At 53.7% G+C, this 26,087-nt stretch overlaps 1 protein-coding gene across 16 annotated transcripts in view, besides 3 other annotated features; it reads right to left on the bottom strand.

Annotated features, from left to right (window-relative positions):
* Positions 1-26,087, bottom strand: part of ADGRD1 (adhesion G protein-coupled receptor D1) — a 187,563-nt gene that overhangs the window by 29,206 nt on the left and 132,270 nt on the right. For 11 of the 16 annotated variants that reach the window (NM_001330497.2, XM_011538204.2, XM_011538205.2 and 8 more), the window contains 3 exons: positions 7,330-7,433; positions 6,399-6,510; positions 3,387-3,540 (listed from right to left, as the gene is read on the bottom strand). The exons of 1 other annotated variant lie outside the window; for it this stretch is intronic. In NM_001330497.2, the coding sequence (NP_001317426.1) occupies positions 3,387-3,540; positions 6,399-6,510; positions 7,330-7,433 (370 nt within the window). Of the gene's footprint in view, positions 1-3,386; positions 3,541-6,398; positions 6,511-7,329; positions 7,434-25,311; positions 25,908-26,087 lie in introns of those variants that run through there. 4 more of the 16 variants (XM_011538206.2, XM_047428718.1, XM_011538210.3 and 1 more) reach the window with 2 other exon arrangements.
* Positions 7,160-7,229: an enhancer, noted in NCBI's record as "active region_7357". NCBI's record gives its function as "activates an Ori minimal core promoter by ATAC-STARR-seq in GM12878 lymphoblastoid cells {active_cell/tissue: GM12878}" and the evidence as "EXISTENCE:reporter gene assay evidence [ECO:0000049][PMID:35858748]".
* Positions 20,166-20,325: an enhancer, noted in NCBI's record as "active region_7356". NCBI's record gives its function as "activates an Ori minimal core promoter by ATAC-STARR-seq in GM12878 lymphoblastoid cells {active_cell/tissue: GM12878}" and the evidence as "EXISTENCE:reporter gene assay evidence [ECO:0000049][PMID:35858748]".
* Positions 20,786-20,885: an enhancer, noted in NCBI's record as "active region_7355". NCBI's record gives its function as "activates an Ori minimal core promoter by ATAC-STARR-seq in GM12878 lymphoblastoid cells {active_cell/tissue: GM12878}" and the evidence as "EXISTENCE:reporter gene assay evidence [ECO:0000049][PMID:35858748]".

Here is a 26,087-nt window from a genome sequence, read left to right as displayed (position 1 = left end):
CATGGAAAGAGACAGAGAGAGCCCTGCTAAAACCACTGCCATCCCAGGGTGACTGTACATGCCTAAGACTGCCCTCTGGGGAGTGATGTCAGAGGAATCACACCACAGGAGAAACAGACTGTGCTAAATAGTCCAGCCAAGTTACTAAACAAATAAATAAGCAAGCAAGGAGAAGCCATGGAAGGAGGGAATCAGAATCAAGGGTGGCTACAATGTGTCATCTAAGATGACAAGTCTTCAACAAAAAACTATGAGATATACAAAGAAACCAGAAAGTGTGACACACACATGGGGAAAAATCCAGGCAATGGAAACTGCCTGTGAGAAGGCTCAGTTGTCGTATTTATCAAAAAAAAAGAGACTTCAAAACAATCACTATAAATATGTTCAAAGAACTAAATGAAACTGTCATTGAAAAAGTAAAGGAATGCATAACGACCCTGTCTCATCAAACACAGAATAGCAACAAAGAGATCAAAATTCTAAAAAAAGAGCCAAATGAAAATTCTGGAGTCGAAAAGTATAATAACTGAAATTTTAAAAATCCACTAGAGGGGTTCCAAAATAGATCCAAAGTGGCAGAAGAATCAGTGAACTTGAAGAGAGATAAAGAAAGATTACGCAATTTGAAGAACAAAGAAAAAAAAAACAATGAAGAAAAATCAAGAGTCTTAGAAGCTGTACTGTAAGTGTACTCTAAATGTGGAACACCATTAAGCACACCAACCTACTCATAATGGGAATATTAGAAAGACAGGAGATAGAGAAAGGAACATAAAAAGTATTTCAATAAATAATGGCTGAAATGTTCCCAAATTTGATAAAGAGAATTAATCTACACATCTAAGAAGCTCAATAAACACCAAAAAGTGGGCCAGGCATGGTGGCTCACGCCTGTAATCCCAGCCCTTTGGGAGGCTGAAGTGGGCGGACTGCTTGTGCCCAAAAGTTCAGGACCAGCCTGGACAACATGGAGAAACTCTGTCTCTACAAAAATACAAAAATTAGCCAGGCATGGTGGCCTGTACCTGTGGTCCCAGCTACTCAAGAGGGTGAGGTGGAAGCATCACTTGAGGCTGGGAGGTGGAGGTTGCAGTGAGCCGAGATGGTGCCACTGCACTCCAGCCTGGGTGATTGAAACCCTGTCTCAAAAAGAAAAAAAAAAAGTAAACACAATGAGATACACACCCAGACACATCAGAGTTAAAATGCTGAAAGACAAAGAGAAAGTCCTCAAAGAATCAACAGAAAAACAATTCTTCAAATACAAGGGACCCCAGTAAGATTAAGTTTTGACTTATTATGAGAAACAATCGAGCCAGAAGGCAGTGAGATGACATAATCAAAGAACGAAAAGCAAAAAAGAATCTTATATCTAGAAAAACTACTTTTTAAAAATGAAGGTGAAATAAAGGGATTTCCAGATAAACAACAAATGAATCTGTTGCTAGCAGACATGCCTTACAAGAAATAACAAAGAAAGTTCTCCAGGCTGAAAGCAAATGACCCCAAAAAGTAATCTTAACACACACAGAAACATACATACACATAGCAAGCAACACCACCAGATGGAAACTCAAATTCACAGGAAAAAATACAGAGAACCAGAAATGGAAATCAGAAGGTTAATGTAACTCTATAAATATGTACTTGCTCTCCTTTTATCCCAGCTTCTTTAAAAGATACAAGATTAAAGAAATAGTTACAAAAATGTATTATTGAATTGTGCCTTATACAGATGTAACATGTATAGCAATAATCAGAGAACAAAGGAAAAGAGAATATGCCTATATAAAAATAATGTTTATATCTTATAATTTAGTATAAATTTGGAATAGATTCTAATATGCTAAGATGTATATAGTAAGCATTAGGTCAATCGCTAAGAAAATAACCAAAAAAAAAAAGTGAAAAAAATCATTAAGAGAATTAAAGTGTTACACTAGGAAATATTCACTTAATTCAAAAGAAAGAAGTAAAGGAAGAATAGAGAAACAAAACAGATAGTAGACATATAGAAAACAAAGAGAAAAATTGTTGATGTGAATCCACCCTATGTGTCATAACATTACATGGGAAAGGATTAAATGACCCAGCCAAAAGGCAGAAATTGCCAGACAATTTTTTAAAAATCCAGTTGTATTCTGTTTACAGGAGATATACCTTAGGTTCAAAGATACAAATAAGTGGAAAGTAAAAGGATGGAAAATATATATGCTCTGCAAACAGCAACTGCAAGAAAGCTGGAGCGAGTCTACTAATCATATGGGACGAACAGACTTTAAAACAAAACATAATACTAGAGATGAAGAGATGTTTTATAAATGTAAAAGGGTCAACTCATCAGAAAGATGTAAGTATAAACAGAACCCCAAGCAACAGGAAACAACATCAACAAATTGAAGGGAGAAATACACAATACAACAAGTGGTGACTTCAATACTTCAGTAATGGACAGAACAACTAGAAAAAGGATCAGCGATGAAATAGAAGACTTGAACAACACTATAAACCAACTTAGGCCTAACAGGTATCTGTAGACCACTCCATCCAACAGCAGAATATACATTCTTCTCAAGGGCATATGGAACACTTTCCAGGATAGATACTTACTAAGGCATAAAACAAACCCTAATACAGTTAAAAGGACTGAAGTCATACAAAATATGTTGTCTTTCCACAATGAAATAAAATTAGACATCAATAATAGAAAAAAGTGAGAAACTCATGAATATGTACAAATTAAACAACATAAATAATCAATGGGTCAAATAAAAATTAAATAAATTTGAAAATACTTTGAGATGAATTTAAAATGAAGACACAAAACATACAGGATGCAGCTAAAGCAGTGAGTAGAGGGAAATATATAACTATACATGCCTATATTAAAAAAGAAAATCTCAACTCAGTAACCTCAACTTTCACTTCGACACACTGGAAAAGAAGAAGAAACTAAAGCTAAAATAAGCAAAAGAAAGGAAATAATGAAGATTGAAGCAGAAATTAAAGAAACGGATAATAGAAAAACAAAAAAGAAAATCAAACCAAAAGTTGGTTCTTTGAAAAGATCACCAAAATTGATAAACCAAGTCAGGAATGTTGGAAATGTTTCCAAGTGATGGGGACTTTTTGCCTTTGATTAGCCAGTGGATTCTCCTTCCTATTTGGGTCTCTAGGAGGCACCAAGAAGGATAATATGAAGATGAAAGCACATCTGACTTTCCCTGTCCCATCCGATCAAACCCCATTCCCACCTCCCCCCATCCCCACCTGCCCCTTCTGTCCCCACTTCCACCTGTCTCATCCTGTCCTACCTGCCCCATCCCCACCTGTCTCTTCCTGTCCCTCCCGCCCCGCCATCCCACCTGCCCTGCCCCACCTACCCCATCCCATCCCATAGTAGTAACGGTGCTTGCTGTCCTCCGACCCAAAGACCTTGATCACCATGCTGTAGAGGTGCAGCCCCTCCACCAGCATCCATGCGAAGGCACTCAGGAAGAAGTAGTGTAGGAGCACGGCCATCACTTGGCAGGGGGTCTAGGATTTAACCAGAGATGGGAAGTGAGACAGCTCTGGGGTGGGCCCTGGGCGTGGCTATGATCCCAGCCTCCCAGTATCCATGTCCTGGGTGGTCTTTTGGTCATGTGACCATGTTTCTTCCCAGGGTATCTTCCTGTTGCTCAAGCCCAGGGATTTGGGTGTAGCGCTTGACTCAGGGCTAGCCAATTACAGCACCATGTTGCCCCCAGGGATGGTGATTGGTTCAGGAGAGGGCACAGGACTCAGGCCCAACCAATCAGCAAAACTATCCATTCCTTGCAACAGGATTGGCTCAGGGATGGGCACATGACTCACCTGGTCCAATCAGGGTGGATTCTGGGGCTAAGGCAGGGACTATGGAAGAGTTTCCCTCCCTTCAAGTGAGGACTGGAGCAAGGAACTTTGGAAGCCACGTGGCTCCCAGAGAGGTGTGGAGCCTGCCGCCTGCCATGTGGCTGAACCCTACATGCTGGGACTTCTAGTTCTAACTAAATTGACTGCAGCTTCCAAGTTGTAGTTACCCAGAACTGAAAGGGGCTCAGGCGACCATGCTGCTCCATAGGCTTCCCCTCAATAGGGCTCAGGGACAGAAAGGCAGGGCCTTGGGAACCTCTCCATTCCTTGCCTGGGGCCTGGAGGCCCCAGGTGCCCAGGACGGAGAGAGTTGGGCCCTGCACAGTGCAGCCTCAGATCCTCCTGGGGCTCCACTCCTCTGCTCCCTGTGAGTCCAGGTGCTGGGAACAGCCAGGGCGTGTCCCTTAGCTCTAGATAAAAGGTCCAGGAAACCAGAGCCCAGGAAGGAACACAAACCAAGGACCCCAGGACAACCCAGCTCTGCTGGCGCTCCAAGTTCTGTCCTTCAGATACGCCCAAGGCAGTTAGTTCTCAGAGAAGAAATGTACAAGCCACTAAATGTGTTTCTTGTCATCATGATCTGTTATATCTAGATACAAAATAAGACATACCTATTATTTTTGTTGGCTCAGCAACCCCTGGCCCTGTGTCTTCCAGGACCAGCTGCCCCTTTTCCTTGGGGAGCAGCCCCTTCCTACCCCAGAGGCTCTGGTGGGACCAACCATTACAATCATCCTCTCCCATCTGGGCACAAAGGTTTACCCTGTAGGCATATCACTCAAACAGGACCAACTGGAGCCCTTCCCTGGGATTCTGACCCAGGTCTCTGGGAGAGCGGGACCCATCAGAGCCCTTCCCTGGGATTCAGACACGGGTCTCTGGGAGAGCGGGACCCATCAGAGCCCTTCCCTGGGATTTAGACACGGGTCTCTGGGAGAGCAGGACCCATCAGAGCCCTTCCCTGCGATTTAGACACGGGTCTCTGGGAGAGCGGGACCCATCAGAGCCCTTCCCTGGGATTTAGCCACAGGTCTCTGGGAGAGCGGGACCCATCAGAGCCCTTCGCTGGGATTCAGACACAGGTCTCTGGGAAAGCAGGACCCATCAGAGCCCTTCCCTGGGATTCAGACACAGGTCTCTGGGAGAGCGGGACCCATCAGAGCCCTTCCCTGGGATTCAGACACAGGTCTCTGGGAAAGCGGGACCCATCAGAGCCCTTCCCTGGGATTGAGACACAGGGTTCTGGAGGAAAGATGCTCTCCCAGTCCCCTAGGGCCACCAGCTGGGATTATAGACACCTGGAGCTGCTGCAGACCTGCCTCCCCTCCTGCTGCCAGCACACAGTGGGACCTTGCTCCCCAGTATGGACTTGAACAGGCAGCGTCAGCATCACCTGAATGATTGATAGAAATACAGCATTCTGAGCTCCACCCAGAGCTCCTAAACCAAAATCTGCACTGTAAGGAATCCTCATGGGAGGTTTCACACCGGAGCCTGAGAAGCGTCCAGCAGGAGAACATGAGGCCAGTGCACACCCCATCCATTCCACGGTGCATCCAGGAACTTCTCAGATGCTCCCGAGTCTGAGGTGGGGTGCCCTGTGAGGGAGGTGCTTGCTGCCACATGAAGGTGGGTCTGTCCATAGGCAGCAGCCCCAGGACATGCATGGGGACAAAGGGCTCTGCTGGGCAGTGAGGAGGAGAGGCTCTGCTGACCCGCTAGGCATGGGATAAAGCGTTCATCTTCTGTTGGCCAATCCTGATTGCACCCTAAGACCACAGGCTTATCCTGCTGGGTTCCTAAGAGCTTCTGCCAGAACCAGCTCCCTTTTTCCTCCCACACATGGAGCAGGCAGCCCTCTGTTTTTCTCTTCCATCAACTAGCTTACAAGCCCACATCATTCCACTGCTGGGTCACTTCAGAGAGTCTCAGCTCTTTGCCTTCTGTGAGGTCTAAGACTTCTTAGGGCCCCAGAGAACCCCCCACTCCATGCAAAGGGCAGGGAAAGATGGCATCTAGGTCTGCAGGTCTGCTTCGCTGAACAGAGGTGGCACAACTGTTTGCTGTCAAGCAGCTGATGAAGGGCACAGCCTGCAGCCAATAAGAGTCTTGGTCTGCCCACACCAGGCCGTCAGCTTGGCCAAGGACTGTGAGCCCTGTGCCCCAATTCCTTTATCTGTAGGCTGAGAGGATGACAGCTGGTTAGAGGGTGACATGGCTTCACAGATGCAAGCCCTTGTCATGGTGCCTCGCGCGTAGCTGGTGCTAGGCAGTGTGAGTGGGTGGCGGCAGCGGCAGCTTTACCCGAGGCTGGCGTGCAGCACAGAAACCAGCTCATGCACGTCACGATCTCTGCTTCCCCCGAGAAAACCACAGCCCTGGTTGTCTGGGGAGATGGGTTCTGAAATTTGAGTTGAAAAAGCTAGCAGAAGGTGCCACCCGGTGACATCCGAGGAGGCAAGGGAAGGACAGCGCAGGAACACGGAGCTGCGCCCACTCACCGTGCCCGGCTCGAGGCGGAAACTAATGAGCAGCAGGACCTGGGCCACCAGCACGGCGAAGGACAGGTTGGCGTGGATGTGGTAGCGCTGGTTCCGGATGGTGCTCACGGAGCTGAGGACAGAGGCAGGGTGTGAGGCCTGGGCCCTGCGCCGACCCAGTCCCCCAGGCTGGGCTCCCTGGCCCCACGAAGTCCCTATATCCATTCCTCCAAGAGCAGCCAGAGGGGTTGCTGTCACTCCCTGCTGTGGACCATCGATGGCTCCCTATTGCTCTTGGATCTGACCCCAGCTCCTTCCATGCCCACACAGCCCTACACAGTCTGACCCTGGGCCATGGCTCTGCTCTGAGTTCCTTTCTTTCCCAGCTCATGTTCCTGCTTCTCAAAGCCCCAGCTTATTCCAGCTGTGGGGCCTTTGCATAGCTGTTCCCATGCAGTAAACCCTCTCCCAGGTCCCCGCATGGCGGCCCAAATGTCTCCCTCAGCGTAAGCTTCCTGACCACTGCTGGGACCTAGCTGCACCCCTCGCTCTCTGCCCTGCTGCCTCGTGGCGTGATCACAGTGAAGATGTTTGTTCTCGCTTTTGTTTACTTGGTTATTGTCCAGCCCCCATCCAAGCATGTTCTCATCTCTCTTGGGCACAGTCGGGCCCTCAAAGCCGACCACACGCCTGTGCTGAGGAACGTGGGAGCGAGAGTGAATATCTGAGCACAGGGCTGAGGTGTCCCCAGGCCCATGGCCATCCCCTTTTGCCTGGCTCGGGTTCCACCAGAATTCCTGTGCCTGGGCTGGGGGCCTTTCCAGACCTTTCCAGCTAAGCCTGGTGCTCTTACCTCCACAGCCCCTCCCCTCTCCCGTGTCTCTTCCATCTTGAGATCTGGGTGCAGGCAGGGGCCGAGAGACTGTTGGGTGGATTAGAAAAGGGGACTCACGACAGCACGGCGAAGGTGACCAGCGTGGCCACCAGGCAGAGCACGGAGAGGGAGCAGCCCACATAGCTGATAGACGACAGCGCCACCTGGTGTCCGCGTGCAAGCTGCGGGGAGCAGAGCAGAGGCGTCAGCAGCAGGCCCAGGCACCCCATCGGAGCCTGAAGCTGCAGAGGGCCCAGGTGGGTGCACAGCTGGTCCCCTGTGAGTGTGGTGCTGACCACCAAGCCTGCCTCCCAGCCCAAATGTCTGTTGCTGCCACCGACAGAGGCCGGTGCTGGGGTTGCAGCCCTGGTTCTGTGCGTGCATGTCCGGTGCCCCGAGGTGCCCTACAGAACACTGAGGCTCCCTCAGCCACAGTCTCCAGACTGTGGCTGCCTGGCCCGGGCAGGCGCTGAGCCTCCTGTCTACACTGCAATACACAGGGCTGCAGACTAACAGTCAGCCCCAGAGCCAGACCTCCCGGGTTCAAGTCCCAGCTGGGCCACGTCCTGGCTGACAATCTGGGCCATGTGACACTCGGCTGTGAAATGAAAATAATGACCCCTCTCCATTCCCACAGTGGCCGCAAGGACTCCATGAATTTACAAACATAAAGTGCTGGAGCAGCTAGGGAAGAGCTGGTTACCGCCCCGGCCTGAGGCCACGACCCTCCCAGTCCCCGCACAAAGTAGTGCTAGGGAAGAGCTGGCTACCGCCCCCGCCTGAGGCCACAACCCTCCCAGTCCCCGCACAATGGCTGCCGCCTGCACACTGTGGGCCTCAGGAAAGCTCTCTAAATGGACACGGTGGTGATCGCCAGCACCCGTGTCTGCTGGGTCCCAACACCTTGTGGGAATGAGGCAGAACAGAACACACCTGGGGATTAAGCGGCTGCAGGGCCACAAAGGATAGAACCGAAGCCGCAGTTCACCGACCGCACAATCCAGACGGCGCCCCCTCGGTTCTGAAGTCGGGGCCTCAAGCTCAGACACATGTGACCCTGCGCTCCAGGAGGCTCCGGGCTCCTAAGCCACAGGCCTGGAAGGGCAGCCTCCCAGCTGCTCACGTGCAGGAGGGCGCCACGTGCTTCCTCCTGTGGCCCATGGCTCTTGTCAGAGGCCCAGCTGAAGCCTGAAGCCTGCATCATGCTGTCCCTGTCCGGCACTGAGGCCCCAGACCCCAGACCCACGTCCCCCCGTCCTCCGAGACGCCTGCCTCCAGCTTCCTCCTGTGGCATGCGGGTAGGGGGAGTCTAAATGCCTTCTCCCCGATCACCAGGACAAAGGAACAAAAGGAGGCCACTCTGAGTGTGTAAGGAGCTGTTGGCAATGAGGGAGGAGATGCCGCAGGCCCAGGGGGCCCCAGCTCAGGGTGAGGCAGGTAGTGCACTGGACCACGGGGAGCAACCTGGGGCCAGGGGGCCATGGGAAGCCCGAACACTCAGCAAGCACCGCCTTCAACTGTGATTCACAGCGGAGTGGGCTCACGCCCGAGGGGCTACAGACGTGCTAGATTCCTGGGTGCGTGGGGCTGGGGTAGGGGCAGCCTGGACGCCACAGCCTGTGCCTCCCATTTTAGCAGGAGCTCATTTTCACCCTGCAGGCCCTGGTATCTTCTCTGAGAACCAGTGCTTGCAGAAGGCAGGGCCTTGGCCTGGCCCCCTTCAGGAGTGAAACAGCTGTTGCCATGACACCAGCAGCATTTCCCCTGGAGGGGCCCTTTTGTGCTCTCCGGCTCAGGGACAAGGCAGAGAGGCTGAGGGCTGGGCAGAGCCACCTGTGCTGAACGCCGGCTCAGGCCTCAGCAGGCAAGGACCTGCGCACAACTTCCAATTTCCCAGGGGCTGGACTTCCCTCTCCACGGACGTTGTGGCTATCACGGGAAAGGTGGGCACTGCGTGGCCAGGGCCAGGGAGACGGAAGAATCCCCCTTCCAGGTTCATGATGCCCCAGGGAGAGAGGAGGGGCAGTCACAGGGGAGCCCATCAGTATCCCTGAGGATGAGAGGGAACTTTGAAGAAATGGGGCCCCCGTCCCCTCAGGAGAATGGCTGCGGTTTCTTGTTCTTGTTTCTGGTTATTGCAGAATCATGCAGTTAGGGGTAGGAGAGCCCCACTACTCCTTCTCCCATGGATAAACCTTTTTCCTTCAACTCCTGGGCCTGGCCTCCCATATTTGAGAAGACCTTCAGGCTGTTGACCTCTGACCCCTGGGAATCACAGCCATGCCCGTGGGCTTCCCTGCAGCAGGTGCCACGATGTCCCCTGGGTGTGTGCCTCCATCTTGGCTTCCCCTGACCCTCATGGGCTCTCCTGCACTGGGCTTGAGGAACTCAAGGTGGAGACTTTGGTGAACTCACACCGACTCTGCCCAGAGCCCACTCCCTATCGCTGCCTGGCAACACCCAGGGCACCTGGGACGCTGTGGGCGAACAGGGGCCTCCCGGGGGCCCGAGGCTGCCCAGTGCTGCCCATCTCTGCTCCACCAGGTGGGAGCTGAGGTCACAGGCATCTTCTGCCAGCAGAAGGGGCCTTGTGGGAGGGGTAGGCACTCATCAGTCACCTGCCGAGTATGTTTGGCAAAACAAGTTCCTCAACAGGCGGGTGCTGCCAGTGCATTCCCACCGCAGCATTCTCGGCAATGGAAACAAACATCTCCACCTGCAGACCGACGGGCCAAGAGCTACTCCCATTAATCGCATAGCCGCGGTGGGTGAAGGGAACTCAGTTTCTAGGCCACATTCCCCACGCTAAGTGTGTGACACTCCAGTTTCCGCATGACATTATTAGCAAATTGTCCATGAAATGATGTTTCTGCTTTCAGATAAGTTTGGAAAAAGCTCCATTCTCTGCACCCCTTAAAAGACTTTTTGGATGAATATAAAGCCACTTAAGAGTTCTGAGGATTCTGCAGGTAAAATAAACCCCCCTGTTCAGCTATGTTCAACTTGGCATCTCTTAAACTCTTTGGAGGAGGAAGGGAAGAGACCCAATGACAGCAATAGAGATGTGGTTTAAGAAGTGCTGTTTTAGAGGAAGTGAGATGTTTCAGAAACTAAGAATAAAACCAAATACAGGACACACTGACATTATACTGGATATGCAATCTTTCTAAGACAACTGAAAAGTCTTGTCTCTCACACTGATCTCTGCCTAGAGATGGAAGTAAGGGTCAGTTACAAGAGTTTTGGGCCTCAGCAGAGGGAATGGTTCTTGGAAACGAACGTCCAGCTCTTCAGCAGTTACCAAACTGAATTCAGTTAAAAACCAATGGAGGCCAGACACAGTGGCTCACGCCTGTAATCACTCTGGGAGGCCGAGGCGGGCAGATCACCTGAGGCGAGGAGTTTGAGACCAGTCTGGCCAACATGGTGAAATCCCGTCTCTCCTAAAAATACAAAAATTAGCCAGACATGATGGCCCACACCTGTAATCCCAGCTACTCAGGAGGCTGAGGCAGGAGAATCACTTGAACCCGGGAGGTGAAGGTTGCAGTGAGCCGAAATCGTGCCACTTGCACTCCAGCCTGGGCGACAGAGCCAGACTCCATCTCAAAAAAAAAAAAAAAAAAAAAAAAAAAGAAAGAAAGAAAAAGAAAAAAAATAAAAGAAAGAAAAGAAGAAAAATCAGTGGAAACACTGCTAGTAAAGGAAAGAAAGCAGTGGTGTCCAAAAGCCTGCCTGGCCCACTGCCCTGGGAAGCCCCCCAAGAGATGCACCCCACACAGGTCTCCACCCCACAAAGCCCTGGCTCCTCCCCACCCCTGATCATCTCTGCTCTACCCAAGTCATCTCATGTCCCACCAGAGGGATGCATATCACTCTCGGACACCATAGCTGCATTTCATGGGGCATCGTCTCTCCCCCAGGGACACGGGAAGCCCTGAGGATGCATTAGGGAAGCTTTTCCTACCTCATCTCGCAGCTCTAAGAACAGCAGTGAGCAGTACTGGGAACAATGGTAACCAGAGGTATTTGCTGAAGGCGTCAGGGGAGAAAGAGCCCTCACATCTACCCATCTGACTCTGCCACTGATTCAACAGACAGATTTCCTAAATCTACATCACTGATTAATATCTTTTAAATTGAGAAAATAAAGCTTTAGCTCATCTATTTGCAAATGCAGTGAGGTTCCAGTGGGCTGACATGAGAGTTCGCTGCACACTGGGCTGCAGTTGGTCAGCCAACTCTCTAAAACATCTTAATCTCCGTTCTTGGCCACCCATTCTACTGGGAGTTTCTGACAAATGGGAGTCTAGCCCTAGCCCCAGACCCACACCTACCCACTTATGCCTTAAGCCTTCCAACCATATTATCGATCAACCTTATCGCCAACCAACCATGCCATCAACCAACCCATTATCAATCAACCCACCATCAACCAACCCATCATCAATCAACCTTACCATTAACCAAGCCTACCATCAACCAACCTTACGTTCAAACAATGCATCATCAGCTAATCTGACTATAAACCAACTCCACCATCAACCAACCTTAACATCAACCAACCCATCATCAACCAACTCCACCATCAACTGACCTTACCAACAACCAACCCATCATCAACCAACTTCACCATCAACCAACCTGAACATCAACCAAACCGACCATGAACCAACCTTGCCATCAACCAACCCATCATCAACCAATCTACCAGCCAATTCCACCATCAGCCAAACCCACCATCAACCAACCTTACCTTCAAGTAATCCACTATCAACCAACTCTACCATCAACTGACGCATCATCAACCAAACTCATCATAAACTCACCTTCAACCAACCCACTACCAACTAACCTAACCATTAACCAACCCATTAACCAAATGCATCATAAACCAACCTATCAATCAACCTGATTATCAATCAAACCCATCATCAACCAACCCATCATCAACCAACTTTATCTTCAGCCAATCCTACCCTCAACCAACCTACTGTCAACCAACCCTATCTTCAACCAAACTTACCACCAGCAAACCTCACCATCAACCAACCCCACCATGAACCAACCCCACCATCAATCAAGTCTCTTTATCATGTACTTTTATCAAACCCACCCAAAGCCAGCATCATGCCAGGCACAATGGGGAGTACTAAAAAGAAAGACATATGGCTCTTCCCTTGAACTGAGCTAATAGCCTGACCAGGCAGCCTTGAAATGATTGTAAGAAACATAAGGCCAGACATATTGGAGGGTCACATGGTACATGGTGCTTGAGTTATAAGGTGAGCCCATAGGTAAAAATGATAGATGATCAAAATGACCTTTGAAAACTCCTGAGATCTCCCATAAACTGGAGTCTCCATGGCTTCTGCATGTAACGTTATACATTCTTCTTCCACACAATGGTCTGAATAATGAGGCCGACTTCAGGAGGGATCAAGAAGAAATGGCATGCACACGTCAGGGTCTGCAAACCTCACTGCTTCAACACAGCTTTCAAGTCCACAGAGTGGACTGAGGCAGAAGGTGACAATCTAGGTGATCCTGATAGTGGCTCACTGCCTTCTCTTTACTACAGGGACTTTCTAGTTGTAACACACATTCAGCCATGGATTTGTCATTGTATTACTTAACCCTGCAACCTGTGTTAAATGTTGACTCCACCACGACCTGCACACAGCCTTAGGAAACTGGAAGGGAGGGAGGGTGATCTGAAGGAGGGGGAGAGAAATACTGAGTGGGCGTTAGGAGGGAGAGGGCTTCACACAGGCCTCAATGCTTGGGCAGGAACCTGACAGACAGGACAGGAGACAGCCTTCTAGACCAGAGTGATGTGAGCTCTGACGGTAAGTTCCATGAAGACAGGTCGACTGTCTTGTTTAATTCTGAATCCCCGGGGCCCGACAGAGGATCTGGCAAACTCTAGGCATCATGGAGAATCACAGAAGAGTGGTTGGAAATGACAGAAACGAGGCACCTGCTGCTTGAAGGCATCGACTCCTCAGAGCAAGCCTGTGAGTGGACAGCATGGTTTCCCTTTACAGATGAGGACACTGAGGCAGCCGCAGTAAATGACTGCCCACCACCATGCAGCTGGCGAGAGGCAGGGCTGGGGCTGACCCGTGATGGCCCCTGCTACAGCAGCAAGCATGTATTCAGCACCTACTGTGCACCATGCACGGAAGTCTCATTGCAGTGGGGAAGCGGGTGATGAACAAAGACGTGGATGTGTAAACGTGAATAAATACCTAAGGCTGCCAGTGTCGTGTTGATGAGGCTGTGATGGAAACACACAGGGGCGGTGGCGGAGGTGACTGCAGAGGGAAGAGGGATGGTGGCCCTCACACGGCCATGATCTGAGAAAGGCCCTGACCCAGGCCCTTCCCTCTCCCTTGGAGCACCCACCTCCGAGTCCTGCTGGCTTCTCACCACTGGCCATCTGTCCCAATCCTCTTTCTGATGGATTTCTAGAGCCTCTGCCTTGATCTCTTCAGCCTCCTGGGCTTCCCTGGTCTCCCCACAGCACCAGCCCCATCCTCTACCATGTCCCTCCTGGCTTGGGTTCCGCTGTACACTGGAGCCTCGTCCCTCATGGCTCACCCCCTCCATAGCGCCTGAGTCTCAGACTCAAACCCCCATTCCCCCACCATGGCTTCTGAGGCCCCGCATGCTCCAGCCCCAGCCCGTGCCTCTGACCTGCCTCCATCCACCCTCTCCCTTCATCATGGGAAAGCAAGACCCTCCCCGCTCGGGATTGGACTTGGGGAGCTGGTTATGAAGGTGAGGGAAGCCCTGAAAAAGCAGAGAAGGCAGTGAGGCAGCCCAGACAGCAGCCACTGCGGGAGAAGGAAGTGAGGCCCAGACAGCGGCCACCGCGGGAGGACAGTGGGAGAGGGGACAGCAGCAGAGCCAGGCCGGGCCACCAGCAGAAACTGGAACCAGACCAGCCTGCCCAGGTGAGGCTGGCGCGGGGGTGCAGGGGAGGGTCTGCATGCAGGCGCTGGAGCCACAGGGGGACGCCCATGCCAGCAGGAGCCCAGGCAGGAGGCTGGCCCCTTCGCCCACCCCAGCAGCACCATCTCTCCTTGGTTGGACTTGGCAGGAAGCCAAGCGTAGGGCAGAGAGCAGGGTGAGCAGAGGATGGGCTCCCGGGCACAAGAGCAGGAACTCCGGGCTAGGTCCACACTCCACCCCCACACCAGCCCTTGAACCAACCATCTGCTCCCCAACCTTTGACGCCCACCCTGTCCCGGCCAGGCTGGCTCCTGCCTGTCTCTGGTCTCTCCGCGGCTGGCATCCAGGCTCTCACGGGGCCTGTCTCCCCTCAGGGCAGCCCTCAGCCCCTGGCTGGGCTGCACTCCTGCCCTTGGCTCCTGGACAGCACGAGTGACCAGGCCCTGGCGGATCTGTGACTCCAGGCATCCCTGGTTTGGCGGCCATCCCTGGCCGTAGGCAGCCGTAGCATGTGCCAGCAGCATGCAGCCAGCCTCCCCCGGGCTGGGTCCAGTTGCTGGCACATTTCACGTCCACTGATGGAAATGAACCGACAGCCCGGGGACAGGTAGAAATGAGCTGCTTGGCCACTTGAGGGGTGCTGCAGGACGGGAGAGGACTGGCCACAGGCAGGAGATCTTCCCCGAGGACCCAGCTGGGCTGCTGTGTGTTTGAACAGATGCTGGGACTGGCCTGCCTCGGGTCACAGTGACCTTGTTGAAAGTGTCAGCTGGGGGGACCATCACCCTCTTGTTTTCCAGACCAGGAACCCTGGGGGCTCCTGCTGTCTCCCCTGGCCGCACAGCTTGTGCATCAGTCTGGGGCCATCTGGGAAAACAGAAACCACTCCAGCCTTTCAAAGAGTGGAACATTTGACTCAGGGAATTGCTAACCCTCGGGAGGGGAGAGAAAGGGGGACCTCATAGGGGTAGTGAGGTGGCCCAGGAATGAGCCTCGCCACAAATCCCCCCGTGGAAGCCAGATCCATAGACTGTCCAGCAGGGCTGCAGCCACAGCAGAGGCGTGGCCACTGCCCAAAAAGCCACGTGTAGGGGCGAGAGAAGAGCTGCTGGGCCTCCTCCCCTCCCATCACCTGCCCCAAGTGACAGACCTGCAACTCAGCACAGTGGTCGGCCGTGGGAGGCAGAGCCGGGCAGCAGGAGGCAGGTGGATCTCAGAGCAGAACCCAGGACTCAACATGACTGGGAACTCAGGGCTGAGTCCCCACTGTGCCCCAGACGATGGCTGCTTTAAACAGTTGTGGCGATGTAAACCTGGACTGGCAGTGCCCCACGGGAACCCATCCTCACAGATGGAGGCGGGATATAAAACTGGACCGGCAGTGCCCCACGGGAACCCATCCTCACAGATGGAGGCGGGATGTAAACCTGGACCAGCAGTGCCCCACGGGAACCCATCCTCACAGATGGAGGCGGGATGTGTGCATAGGATGCTGGTTATTTGCTGCGGCCAAAGACCACCATGACTTCAGTGTCCACCCGCGGGAGAGCTATGCAGTGGTTAACACGGGAGATGTGGCTCTGTGTACCCTGAGAAGGAGCAACCTCCAAGATACGTGCATACATTTTTTAAAGTGTGCTATCTTGCCAGGCATGGTGGTGCACACCTCTAGTCTCAGCTGCTTGGGAGGCTGAGGTAGGAGGATCTCTGGAGCCCAGGAGGTCAAGGCTGCAGTGAGCCAAGGTGGCGCCACTGACTCCAGCCTGGACCACAGCGTGCAACCTTGTCTCTAACACAAATAAATTGTAAATAAAAATAAAGGGTGCAGTCTTTATGCTTCACTACCCTTTGTTTAAAGGAAGGTTTGCATCCATTGAGGTACAGAAAATTTTAAAAACAAACAAAAAAAGAACAAAGAGCAAAGCGGGGCCCCAGGCTCAGCAACTGCGTCTGGAATGACAGAAAAGCAAGCGCGTGTCTAGGCCGCTGCTCTGGGCAGGGCCGGGAGGCAGGAATGGTGGCCGTGACCCTAAGCCGCTGCTCTGGGCAGGGCTGGGAGGCGGGAACGGTGGCCGTGACCGTCAGTTTCCACACTCTGCCTTCTGTGTTCTTGCATTTTCCCACATGCGTGTATCATCTTTACAAACAATTCAACCTACAGAACCCCTCTGTCTCCTGACACCCCAGCTTCCTGTATGTCCCAAAAAGAACCCTCGAGCTCCTGTCCCACTCCTAACACGGGGGCTGGCGGCTTCTCAAAGACGGCCCACATCCCCACTCTAATTCCCAAGATTCAACACACTCATGACAAAAAATACGTGTTGACCAGAAACCTGGCCTGCTTCAGACGTCAAGCCCTGACCACAGCCTTGCAGCCCACAGCTGCCCCGCAAAGCGACCCGATCCCTCGGCCGGGCTATGCGTCCATCTGCCCTGGGAACGTCCAGTCTGGCCCCTGACCATGTTCCCAGTCCTGGTCACCCGGCCCACCCTCAGCCCCACAGAGTAAGACCCCAATTCTGAGGGTAGCCCCGAAAGAAGATCCCCCAAGACAGGACCACCCCAGAGGCTGCTGCAGCTCCCTCTGCAGAGCGGCTCCAGCCCAGCACACTCCAGAGCAGACACTTCTTCAGGAGAATTAGGGAATAAATGAAGCAACATATGCTTCTCCTCTAAAAGGAGCAGCCTGGGTCTGGTTGGAGGAGGCAACGGCAATTGAATTTGTCAAGAGGGGCAGGGGTGGAACCCTCAGAACCTTGAAGCTACGTCTCCCTGCCCCCAGGACTGCAAGGTGCCCAGGCAGGGCTGGGGCTGAGCTGACAGCAAAGCTGAGTCCCGGCAGCAACTGGCTGCTGCTCCACCTCGAAGTGCAGGTTTTTACCTCTTAGGCCCATTTCCCAATGTCCCAGGTGGCCAGCAGCCTGAGAGTCGGGGGGACTGAAGGGAGAGATGGGGGTGGCAGGTGTCAGCCCTGTTCCCAGGGCTCACTCAGCTCTCCACTCAGAGAGGCACAGGCCACAGGGTACAGGGGAGGGCCCTGGGGGCTGAGAGGGGGCGTCTCGAGGGAGACTGGAGGGGCATGGGAAGGGGTGGGTAGGGCAGGAGACGGGAGGGGGTGGAAGGACGCATGCCCCTGCGCCTCCCCCGGGTGAGCTCCCAGCTCCCATCCCCAGCCCAGCTCTCAGCAGCCCAGGACAGGGCTCAGGAAAACTCATCTGTAAGGCGGGGCGGGAACAGCGTGCACCCGTGCACCTGGAGGGCTTGCTGGTGGAATGGTAAGGAGCCCATGCAGAAGGACCCAGCAGGCTTTGCCCACCACCCTCTCCTTCTGGAAGAACTGCACAGGCTGGGAAATCAGAAGGGATGGTGACAATTTTCTGGGTCTCTAAGAGGATGGTACTGAGGATGCATGCCCTCCCCACTCAGCCAGAAGACACTGGTGAACCACAGTATTGCTTGGGGAGTCGGGGGGGCGCTGCTGAACAAACCAACTTCCTTGTTACTCCTGGGCAAGGCAGGACCCTCTTCTGCCTCCAGGATTAGAGGGGTCCAGGGATGGGTGGAGGGGCCTCTCCTTGGAGCCCCTCCAGCCTCCACAGTTACCCCCACCCCCATCAACAGGGCAATAGACCGTCCTGCCCCGGTGCCCACAGCCACAGGACTGAACCTTCCTTATGAAGAGTGAATGGAAGGAGACTTGTGGCCATGAACGGGTCAATGCTGGGATGGCTGCAGTCCCAGGTGCAGTAGCCAGGCCTGCTCCACCCCACCCCACTCCCACTCCACTCTCAGGGGTCCTCAGGGCCAGGACATCCCTAGGGACCTCATACTCATGGCTCACTGTGACTTCACTCTGTCAGGCAGTGTTTGGGGCTGGGTGCTGAGGCTGGGTACTGAGGCTGTGTACTGAGACTGGGTGCTCAGGGCTGGGTACCGAGGCTGGGTGCTCAGGGCTGGGTGCTGAGACTGGGTGCTCAGGGCTGGGTGCCGAGGCTGGGTGCTGAGGCTGGGGACTGAGGCTGGGTGCTGACGCTGGGTGCTGAGGCTGGGTGCTCAGGGCTGGGTGCTGAGGCTGGGTGCTCAGGGCTGGGTGCTGAGGCTGGGTGCTGCTGAGGCTGGGTGCTTGGGCCTGAGCTGTGCTTACTTCTGCCTCCTCATCACCACCACAGCTCCACAAGGAAAGGGTCCCACCCATGTCACAGCGGGGAAACTGAGGCTCAGAGCAGGCACCTGCCCAAGGCCACCTGGCACATCACTGGGAGGGACCTGTGTGTCCAGCTGGCTGGGAGGCAGAGGGGCCACTACTAACCCCAGCTGCATGCAGGAGGTGTTATTGGGAGGTGGTCTGGCTAACATTCACACAGAGACCCCGTGGAGGGAGCCTGTTTCTGACTTGAGCTGTACATGCTGCGGCTGCCGGCACTGCAGTTGGCACAGTCCCGCCTGTGACACACCCTCGGGACCGCAAATACAGCTCAGAGTGGTTCTCACAGCTCCCAGCAACACCGTGTAATTCAGGCCCCTGCCACTGCCCGCCCTGTGCCCTTCCCTGGAGCCAGGGCCCATCTGAGAGGCTCAAGGCTGCACCTGGCTGGGTAACCGCGGGGCACGGGGCCTAGAACCATGGGTCTGGGCGGAGGCTGCACTGCCGTTCCTGCCTCAGGAAGGCGTGGTGTGCCCCCACGGTGCCCTTCCTTTCCCACCCATAGCTAGATTTAGAAATGCCCAGAAAAGCCTGCAGTTGGTTTCAGGACACGGACTCCTCTGACTCAGAAACTACAACCTCAAATGCCTCCTGAGAGGCAGGGCATCAGCTCAGGAGGCCAGTGGGGGCCTGCAGACATAACCACCAGGTGGGACTGTGCTGCCAAAACAAGCATCCTCCCTCCCACAGTTCTAACCCAAGTCCTTCTCAGTGCATATGTCACTTTCCCACCAAGACAAGAGCAGGAAGCATTTCACTGTCTCCTAAAAGCAGAAGAGCGATGCGAACGTGATGAGGAGGGGCAGCTGCTTGTGGTACGGGGAGGCCATGGGGACCGGGGGGCCCTGGGGACCTCGCCCTGAGTGCAGGGGTGGTAGCCACTCGCCTCCAGCATCGTTTCCAGCCAGAGGGGGAAGCCCAGCGTGGCCACATCTTCCTCTTCTTGTTTTATTTAAAAAAAAAAAAAAAGAAATCCCAAATTTTAGATAAAATGTCTGTGTTTTGGAATACTGACAACCAATTTTTAAAAATTTAAGCCTCTGTGGGCTAGGAGAAGCCCAGTCACTGGCCAGAGTCAGCCTTCAGACCACGGTTCATGACCGTCCTATTGAAATGCTTTTTCCCTGTGACCACCAGGCCCCAGGAGCGGGTGCTCGGGGACTGGCATTCCCAGGTGCTCCTGTACTGGCACAGGGCTCCTGCACCCCCCAGGTCAGAGCCACCCCAAGGCAGGTGCCCATGCCTGGGACGCTTCCCATGCCTGAAGCCTGGGAAGTGGCCGCCTGGGAGGAAGTGGCCACCTGCAGGAAGAAAGAGCGCACCGTGGCGGGCCCTGGGACTCCTCCCAACCTCCCACACGCTCCTCGACCACTGCCCTTCCCACTGGGTGCAGCCTTGGCAGGACTGTCTATCAATATCGGGGGCTCTCCCACCTTAGACAACCAGACCACCTCCCTGGCCTGCACACCCTGAGCGGGGAACACAAGCGCCAGGAGTAGGTGCAGCTGAATTTTCCCTAAGGCCAGGCCCAAATGCCTTCCACGGCACCAGTCCCCATGCCCAGCACCTTCATTGGGTGTGTGGCTTCAGCAAGAAACGCTGAGTAGTGCACGCCTGAGCCCTCCTCTCGGTCCCTGGCTGAGCCAGCCCACACCTGCATCCACCCCTGTGTTAACCTCAGGTCCTCACTCCCTCGCACCCTGCCAGCCAGTCCTTAGGGAGGACAGAAAGTTGAGCTCCCACCTACCTGCGGCAGTACAGACCAGTTGTGCCAGCATGACTGGGATCCACCGACTAAACCAGCACGCATGTGGCATTCTGGCCTCCAAGGAGAACACATCTCTTTCCCTAAGTTCCTCTCCTCTTGTGGAACAGACTCACTCCTCCATACCCTCATTCATACAGCAAACACAGGCATGGGCGTGTCTCAGCACCCGGACATCAGGAAGGCGCAGTGAACATGAAACACCACCCCTGGGTAGCAGGCCTCAGAAACACCTCTGCCAGCAGGCTGACTTTACTCATTTGATCATATCACACAATTCCACACAAATACACACCTGGGTCAGAGCCCACAGGCTGGTGTTTACAGTCCTTTCTCTCCCCAGCTCCTGCCACTGCCTCACCTCTGTGGCCCCCTCCTCGCCCCGGCCCACTAACAACCTTGAATGCACTGCCCGTGCCTTTCTGATAATCACATACCAAGATACAAATGTTGCATATTTAAACACATATACAGAAACACACCCACGCATAGGGGATTTTGGCGTGGCTTTACAAAAATGGGATATGTATCACTCTAGTCTACGTCTTGTCCTTTTCACACAATGTTACCTTGGAAATCCCTGCAAACGCACTGGCATGGTGACAACCCCATTCTTTCACAGTTACACCGCGTTTCGTGACTTCATCATTCCTCTTTTAGTATAGAGATGAATAATCTCCCTTAGCGTGGATGTATTAGAATTTACACAATCATTAGTGTTATGTTTATTCATGCTTCTGTTATTTCTACTATAAATAATGTCAATATTCTGATTTTATACTTTTTTATGTCATCTTACTTGCTGATTCTTTTAATTCTCTGACATAGATTCTCATGGGTGTACTGAGAAGTTACAGGGTCTGTTCTGGATGAATTCTCTATCTGTTCCAATGGCCTACTTTTCTAGGATAATTTTATCCAATTAAAAGAAAAACTTGCCTTCTCTGGGTTCTTACTGGATCTGGGGTTGCTAATTTCAAAGGGGCAGAAATCAGGCCTGGGGAGTGGAGCAGTTGGGGTGGTGAAGGGTGGGTCTGGATGCAGATCTACTGGACAGCCCAGGGGTTCGTTCCCCTGCTTGAACTGCACTCAGCAGGAGAAGTTAGAAGCACCCAGAGATGACGCCATGTTTCTGTGACTCACATGTAAAGCAAAGCTACCCATTCTTGACCCTGGCTGGAGGAGCAATAAATTGGTACACGGTTCCCAGAGTGCAATGCGGCAATGTCTTTCAAAATCAAAATGCCTGTGCCCTTTGCCCACAGATTCACCTGCCAGGAATTTATTCTAAAGAAGCATGTGCAGGGTCATGCACTCCGGAACCACTGGAAGTCGCCAGATGCTGGAAGCCATCGCAGTGTCCATCAGCAGATGCCTTGACATGGCTCCTCAGGGCCTGGGCCCTAATCACCATGTTGACAGCAGCATGCAAAGACAGAGTGTCGTTTTGGGGTCTCCCTCCCCTGGACAGCAGCCCTGGAGCCCACCCCAGCTAGGTCCAGTTCACTCAGGTGAACTCTGTTGTCTGATAGGCTTTCCACAAAAAGGACACTGCCCACTTAGGAGGAAGAGGGCTTCCCGAAACAACCGCCAAGGAGGAGGCTGGATATGGAGAAAAGCCAGGGGAAAACCTCGGAGAGAGAAGGGACACGATGAGGATGTGAGCTCCTGAGCAGAAAGCCTGCACCAGGAACCCAAAGACCAGCAGTGCGAGCCCAGGGCCCCGTGGAAGACATGACTCCAGGTCACAGAAATAAGGTCACTGGTGCTATTTTTATTAATTCTCTGAGTATGCTGCAAATTTGGTTTCTACTTATGATATCAGCCTTAACTTTTTTTAATGTTGATGAGAATGTTCATTTTTAGCACAGATAATTTTAAACCATTTTCAAATCAACCTTTTCTGGCAATGAATAGATGCGATTTGCTCCCACGAAGACACCCACAGACTGTCAAAATCCAGTGTCACTGAGAGGGAACGGTGACGGATCGAGACCGTAAGTCGTCTCTGTCCCAGGTTTTTTACTCGCTGGACTGGGCCCTTCCCTTCCTTCCTCTACCACAAACACACAACACACAAAAACACAGTTTTCAGCTGAAAGTGTAACTCCCCCTCTCTCTGGCCATGCCAAGAAGGAAGTCACACTGGGCTTTAGTTCTCAGCCTATAGAGGATCCAGAGGAGGAGGCTCTGCTCCCAGGCAGCTGATGCTCCAGAGCATGGGCACAACCCCAACATTCGGGATTTGGCTCAAGGCTGGGCTCTGCCCCCTGATGTGACCTCAGGGAATCACCTATGACTCTTGTCTGTGATGGCCACATGACAGCACCTCACTCGTGTGGTGTGGACTGAAGGAGAGGGCAGGCCTGAATGCAAGCCCCAATGAGGCAGGGAGCATCCACAGGCAGGGAGCCCCCATAGGCAGGGAGCACCTTCCAGGCAAGGAGCACTCACTGGCCGGGAGCACCCATCAGGTAGGGAGCACTCACTGGCCAGGAGCACTACCAGGAAGTGAGCACCCACTGGCAGGGAGCACTTGCAGGCAGGGGGTATCCAACAGTTAAGAGCATCTACAGGCAGGGAGCATCTGAAATGGTGCCTGTTACTGTCTTCCCCTTACTCCCAGGTGGTCGGCTGTGTGAAGGCCACAATCACCAGCCAGCATTCAATAAATGGCTCCCGGCAGCCAGTGGGGCCGGTGCCCACTCTGCAGAGCTGTGCATGAAGGAAGACGTTCCCCGTTCCCTGAAGGCAATGCCTGTGTCCAGAAGCCCCGCCCACTGGCCCTTGGTTCGGGCTCCTTTTTAACCCATGGTCTATTTCTTTTGTCTCTGAATCTTCCAGGTTCTCTCTTCACTCACTTCCAGGCTGAGGACCTGTCTCTCCAGTTCCCCCCTCAGCTCCTGCGACAAGGGAAGTTCTTCACATGCCAACGAGCACACATGTGGGGCCGGACTATCCATCCTCAGATTTGGTAACAGTTGCTGCAGCCGGGTCCCATGACACGAACAGAAATGCGAGCTGATGTTTGCAGACTGGGCGCCTGTGCCTGGGGCTGCTCAGAGGGTGGTCTGGGACCGGTGGGGCCTCACTCCACCCGGGCCTTGTCGGAAATGAGGATGCCAGGCCCCACCCCAGACCCCCTGAATGTGGGGTCTGCATCTTCACAAGACCCCAGGCGTCTGGTCAGCACACAGATGACCTCTCACATATGGCTCAGAAGTAATAACTGACGACACCTCTAACAGTCAGAAGATTTCGTGGGAGAAACAGATCGCCAGCTTTCTTAGTCGAAGATGGGGCAACCCTGGTCATCTGCAGTGGGACTCGTGCCCCTCCACCCCCGCCACACCAGCGGGCTGCCGCTTCTCGAGTCACCGCAGCAGCCTCCGCCACCTCTCCTGCTCCCCGCCTCCTGCCCCTCACGACCCCTGGGCCTGGAGCCCCTGCCTCCGCCCTGGCGTTTCCCCGAGGACCACCCCTGGCTGCTCCCTCCTTGCCCTCCGTCCCCACCCTGTCCTCTGCCCGGACTGTCCTTGCTCAGGGCCGGGAGGCTCCATCCTCTCCACCCTGAGATGTAAAATCCACCGCCACCTTCTCAGGCAGGCCCTCCTGGGCTTCCGTCTTTCAAACAGCTCCGGCATCACCAGGACTGCGTTTTAGAGCCTAATTATCCACAAGTCATCCGACATGATCTCCCGCGTGGCCCTTACGGGGCAGGACGTGGCGTGCACTGACTTGCTGTGTCTCTGTGCGTGCCACAGCATCCTCACTGCCAGGTCCCCATGGCCCGGGTGCTACCTAAACAGCCCAGGCTCTACCGGTAATTCAATAACACGCTGTTGAACGACGGGCGACCACCAGCAAGCGCCCCCCTCTCTCTGGGGCTCAGTTTCTCTGCTGGTAAGACGAGCAGCCTTGGCCACAGCACCGTGCAGTCCGCCCATCTCCAGGAACGAACAGGTGCTCTCCATGGGGGCAGCTCTGCGCCTTCTCCCCTGGGCTGCTCCCTACGACACCACGAGGGAAGCCCAAAGGGAGCCCTGTGGGCCGGGCCCTGGCGGGAGGGGAGAGGAGAAACGGAGCCCGTGGGAGGAGAGAGAAGGCGTCACGGCCGTCCGCAGAGGACGGTGCTCCTCAAACTGAGGCCTGGTCCATGGCAAGAAATTTAAACCCAGGAACTGTTTCTACGTTCACCGCCCTCTGGTGTGGTTTCATTTACTCTGTTTAATTTTCTTTAAATTGCCGCCAATGATCCAGGTCATGGCCCTCCCCAGCCGCGAAGGGCCCACCTCCACATGGAGGCTGTGGGGTCTGCAGGCCAGGAGAAGAGGGGCCACTGGGAAGGCATGGGGGGGGCGTGGGGACTGGGAAGGGGCAGTCGCTGGCGGGGCAGCTGCTCTAGGGGAAACACTCCTTAAGGAACATCCCCTCGGGATTATCTGGCGGGTCACAGCTGCCTGCACAATATTTACCACTGAAGGGTGCGGGCAACGGGTGGGCTTGGGTCCCACCAGCCTCACAACAGAGCCGCCCCTTCGGAACCTCTAAAACCCCACGGCCCTGAGCCGGAAAGCCCCGGCACGCAAGGGCTTGGCAGTTCCACTTGCTTCGTGGCCGGCCCTTCTTGGGGGACCCTGCGGCATGGAAGCTACTGAGGAGGCTGCCGGTCCCCTGTCACCTGACATTTCATCTCACGCAGCGCCAAGGGCTCCTGGGTCCAGGCTCCAAAGCACGTAGGTCTAGGATGCTGGGTGTGTGTCTGTGCACGAGGGACCCGAGGGTGAATGGTGCCCCCTCCTATCCACTTAAGATATGTCTCAGAGCCTGGGCCACAAAGTGAGGCCCCATCTCTACAGAAAATTAATACATGCACATAAAAAAGCTGGTGCAGTGGCTCACACCTGTAATCCCAGCACTTTGTAGGCTAAGGTGGGAGGATTGCTTGAAGCCAGGAGTTCAAGACCAGCCTGAGGAACATGGTGAGAACCCATTGCTACGAAAAAATTTAAAATTAGCCAGGCGTTGTGGCATGTGCCTGTAGTCCCAGCTACTTGGGAGGCTGAGGTGGGAGGATAGCCTGAGCCCAGGAGTTCAAGGCTGTAGTGAGCCATGATCAAACCACTGCACTCCAGCCTGGGCAACAGGGTGAGACCCTGTCTCTAAAAATTAATTTATTTAATTTAATAAAAATAAAATATGGCTTGGACATCTCTCTGCAGTCTCCATAAGTAATTCACAGTGTGACATCAAGCATGCATTTTGTGAAAAGAAAGGGCCTTCTCTTTGGAAACAGGAATAGCTGTTTCCCTCTGGCGTCTTCTGCAGAGTGAGGCTCATACGCGCTCACGTGAGCAGCTGCCCGTCGGCCAGTGAGGCCGGGATCACACTGGCTGCAGGTGCCACGTGCGTCTTTCGCCCTGTGAGGGGCTGCAGCTCAGGAGCATCTGCCATTTTATTTTCCATGGAATTTAAAGATGAGGTTATCTCCATCTGCCCCAGCAGCATTACAAGTCACTTCCAAAAACCAGGGCCCTGTCTCCATTGATCTGAGAGTTAACTGTGGTCCATCAGGCCTCTGCACACAGAACCCCGTGGCTTAGGTTTGCTGGTGGTTTCTGTTAGGGAGCGAGGGGCGCCTGGGCTGAGCGCTGGATCCGTGACTGTGTCGCAGTGGACTCGTGTCCTTCCCACAGCACCCCTGGGAGGCTGCATTCCTGGGCCCTCTTTCTGGAATAGGAAAAGTCTCCCAGGATGGGAGAAGGCGAAGCTAGGATTCTGCCTCCGTTACACCTTGAAGAGTTCTGTCTCCTGGTCAACAGGACAGTGGAAGCCCAACCCATTCAACACCCCCAAAACCCACACAAAACCACGCAGGACACGCGGGGCAGCATCACCCTCTGGCCCAGT

This window comes from Homo sapiens, chromosome 12 (assembly GCF_000001405.40).
Source record: "Homo sapiens chromosome 12, GRCh38.p14 Primary Assembly".
In the NCBI taxonomy this organism is placed as follows: Eukaryota; Metazoa; Chordata; class Mammalia; order Primates; family Hominidae; genus Homo; species Homo sapiens.
The sequence above is the reverse complement of the archived record's forward strand: the minus strand, read 5'-3'. Positions and strand labels throughout refer to the sequence as shown.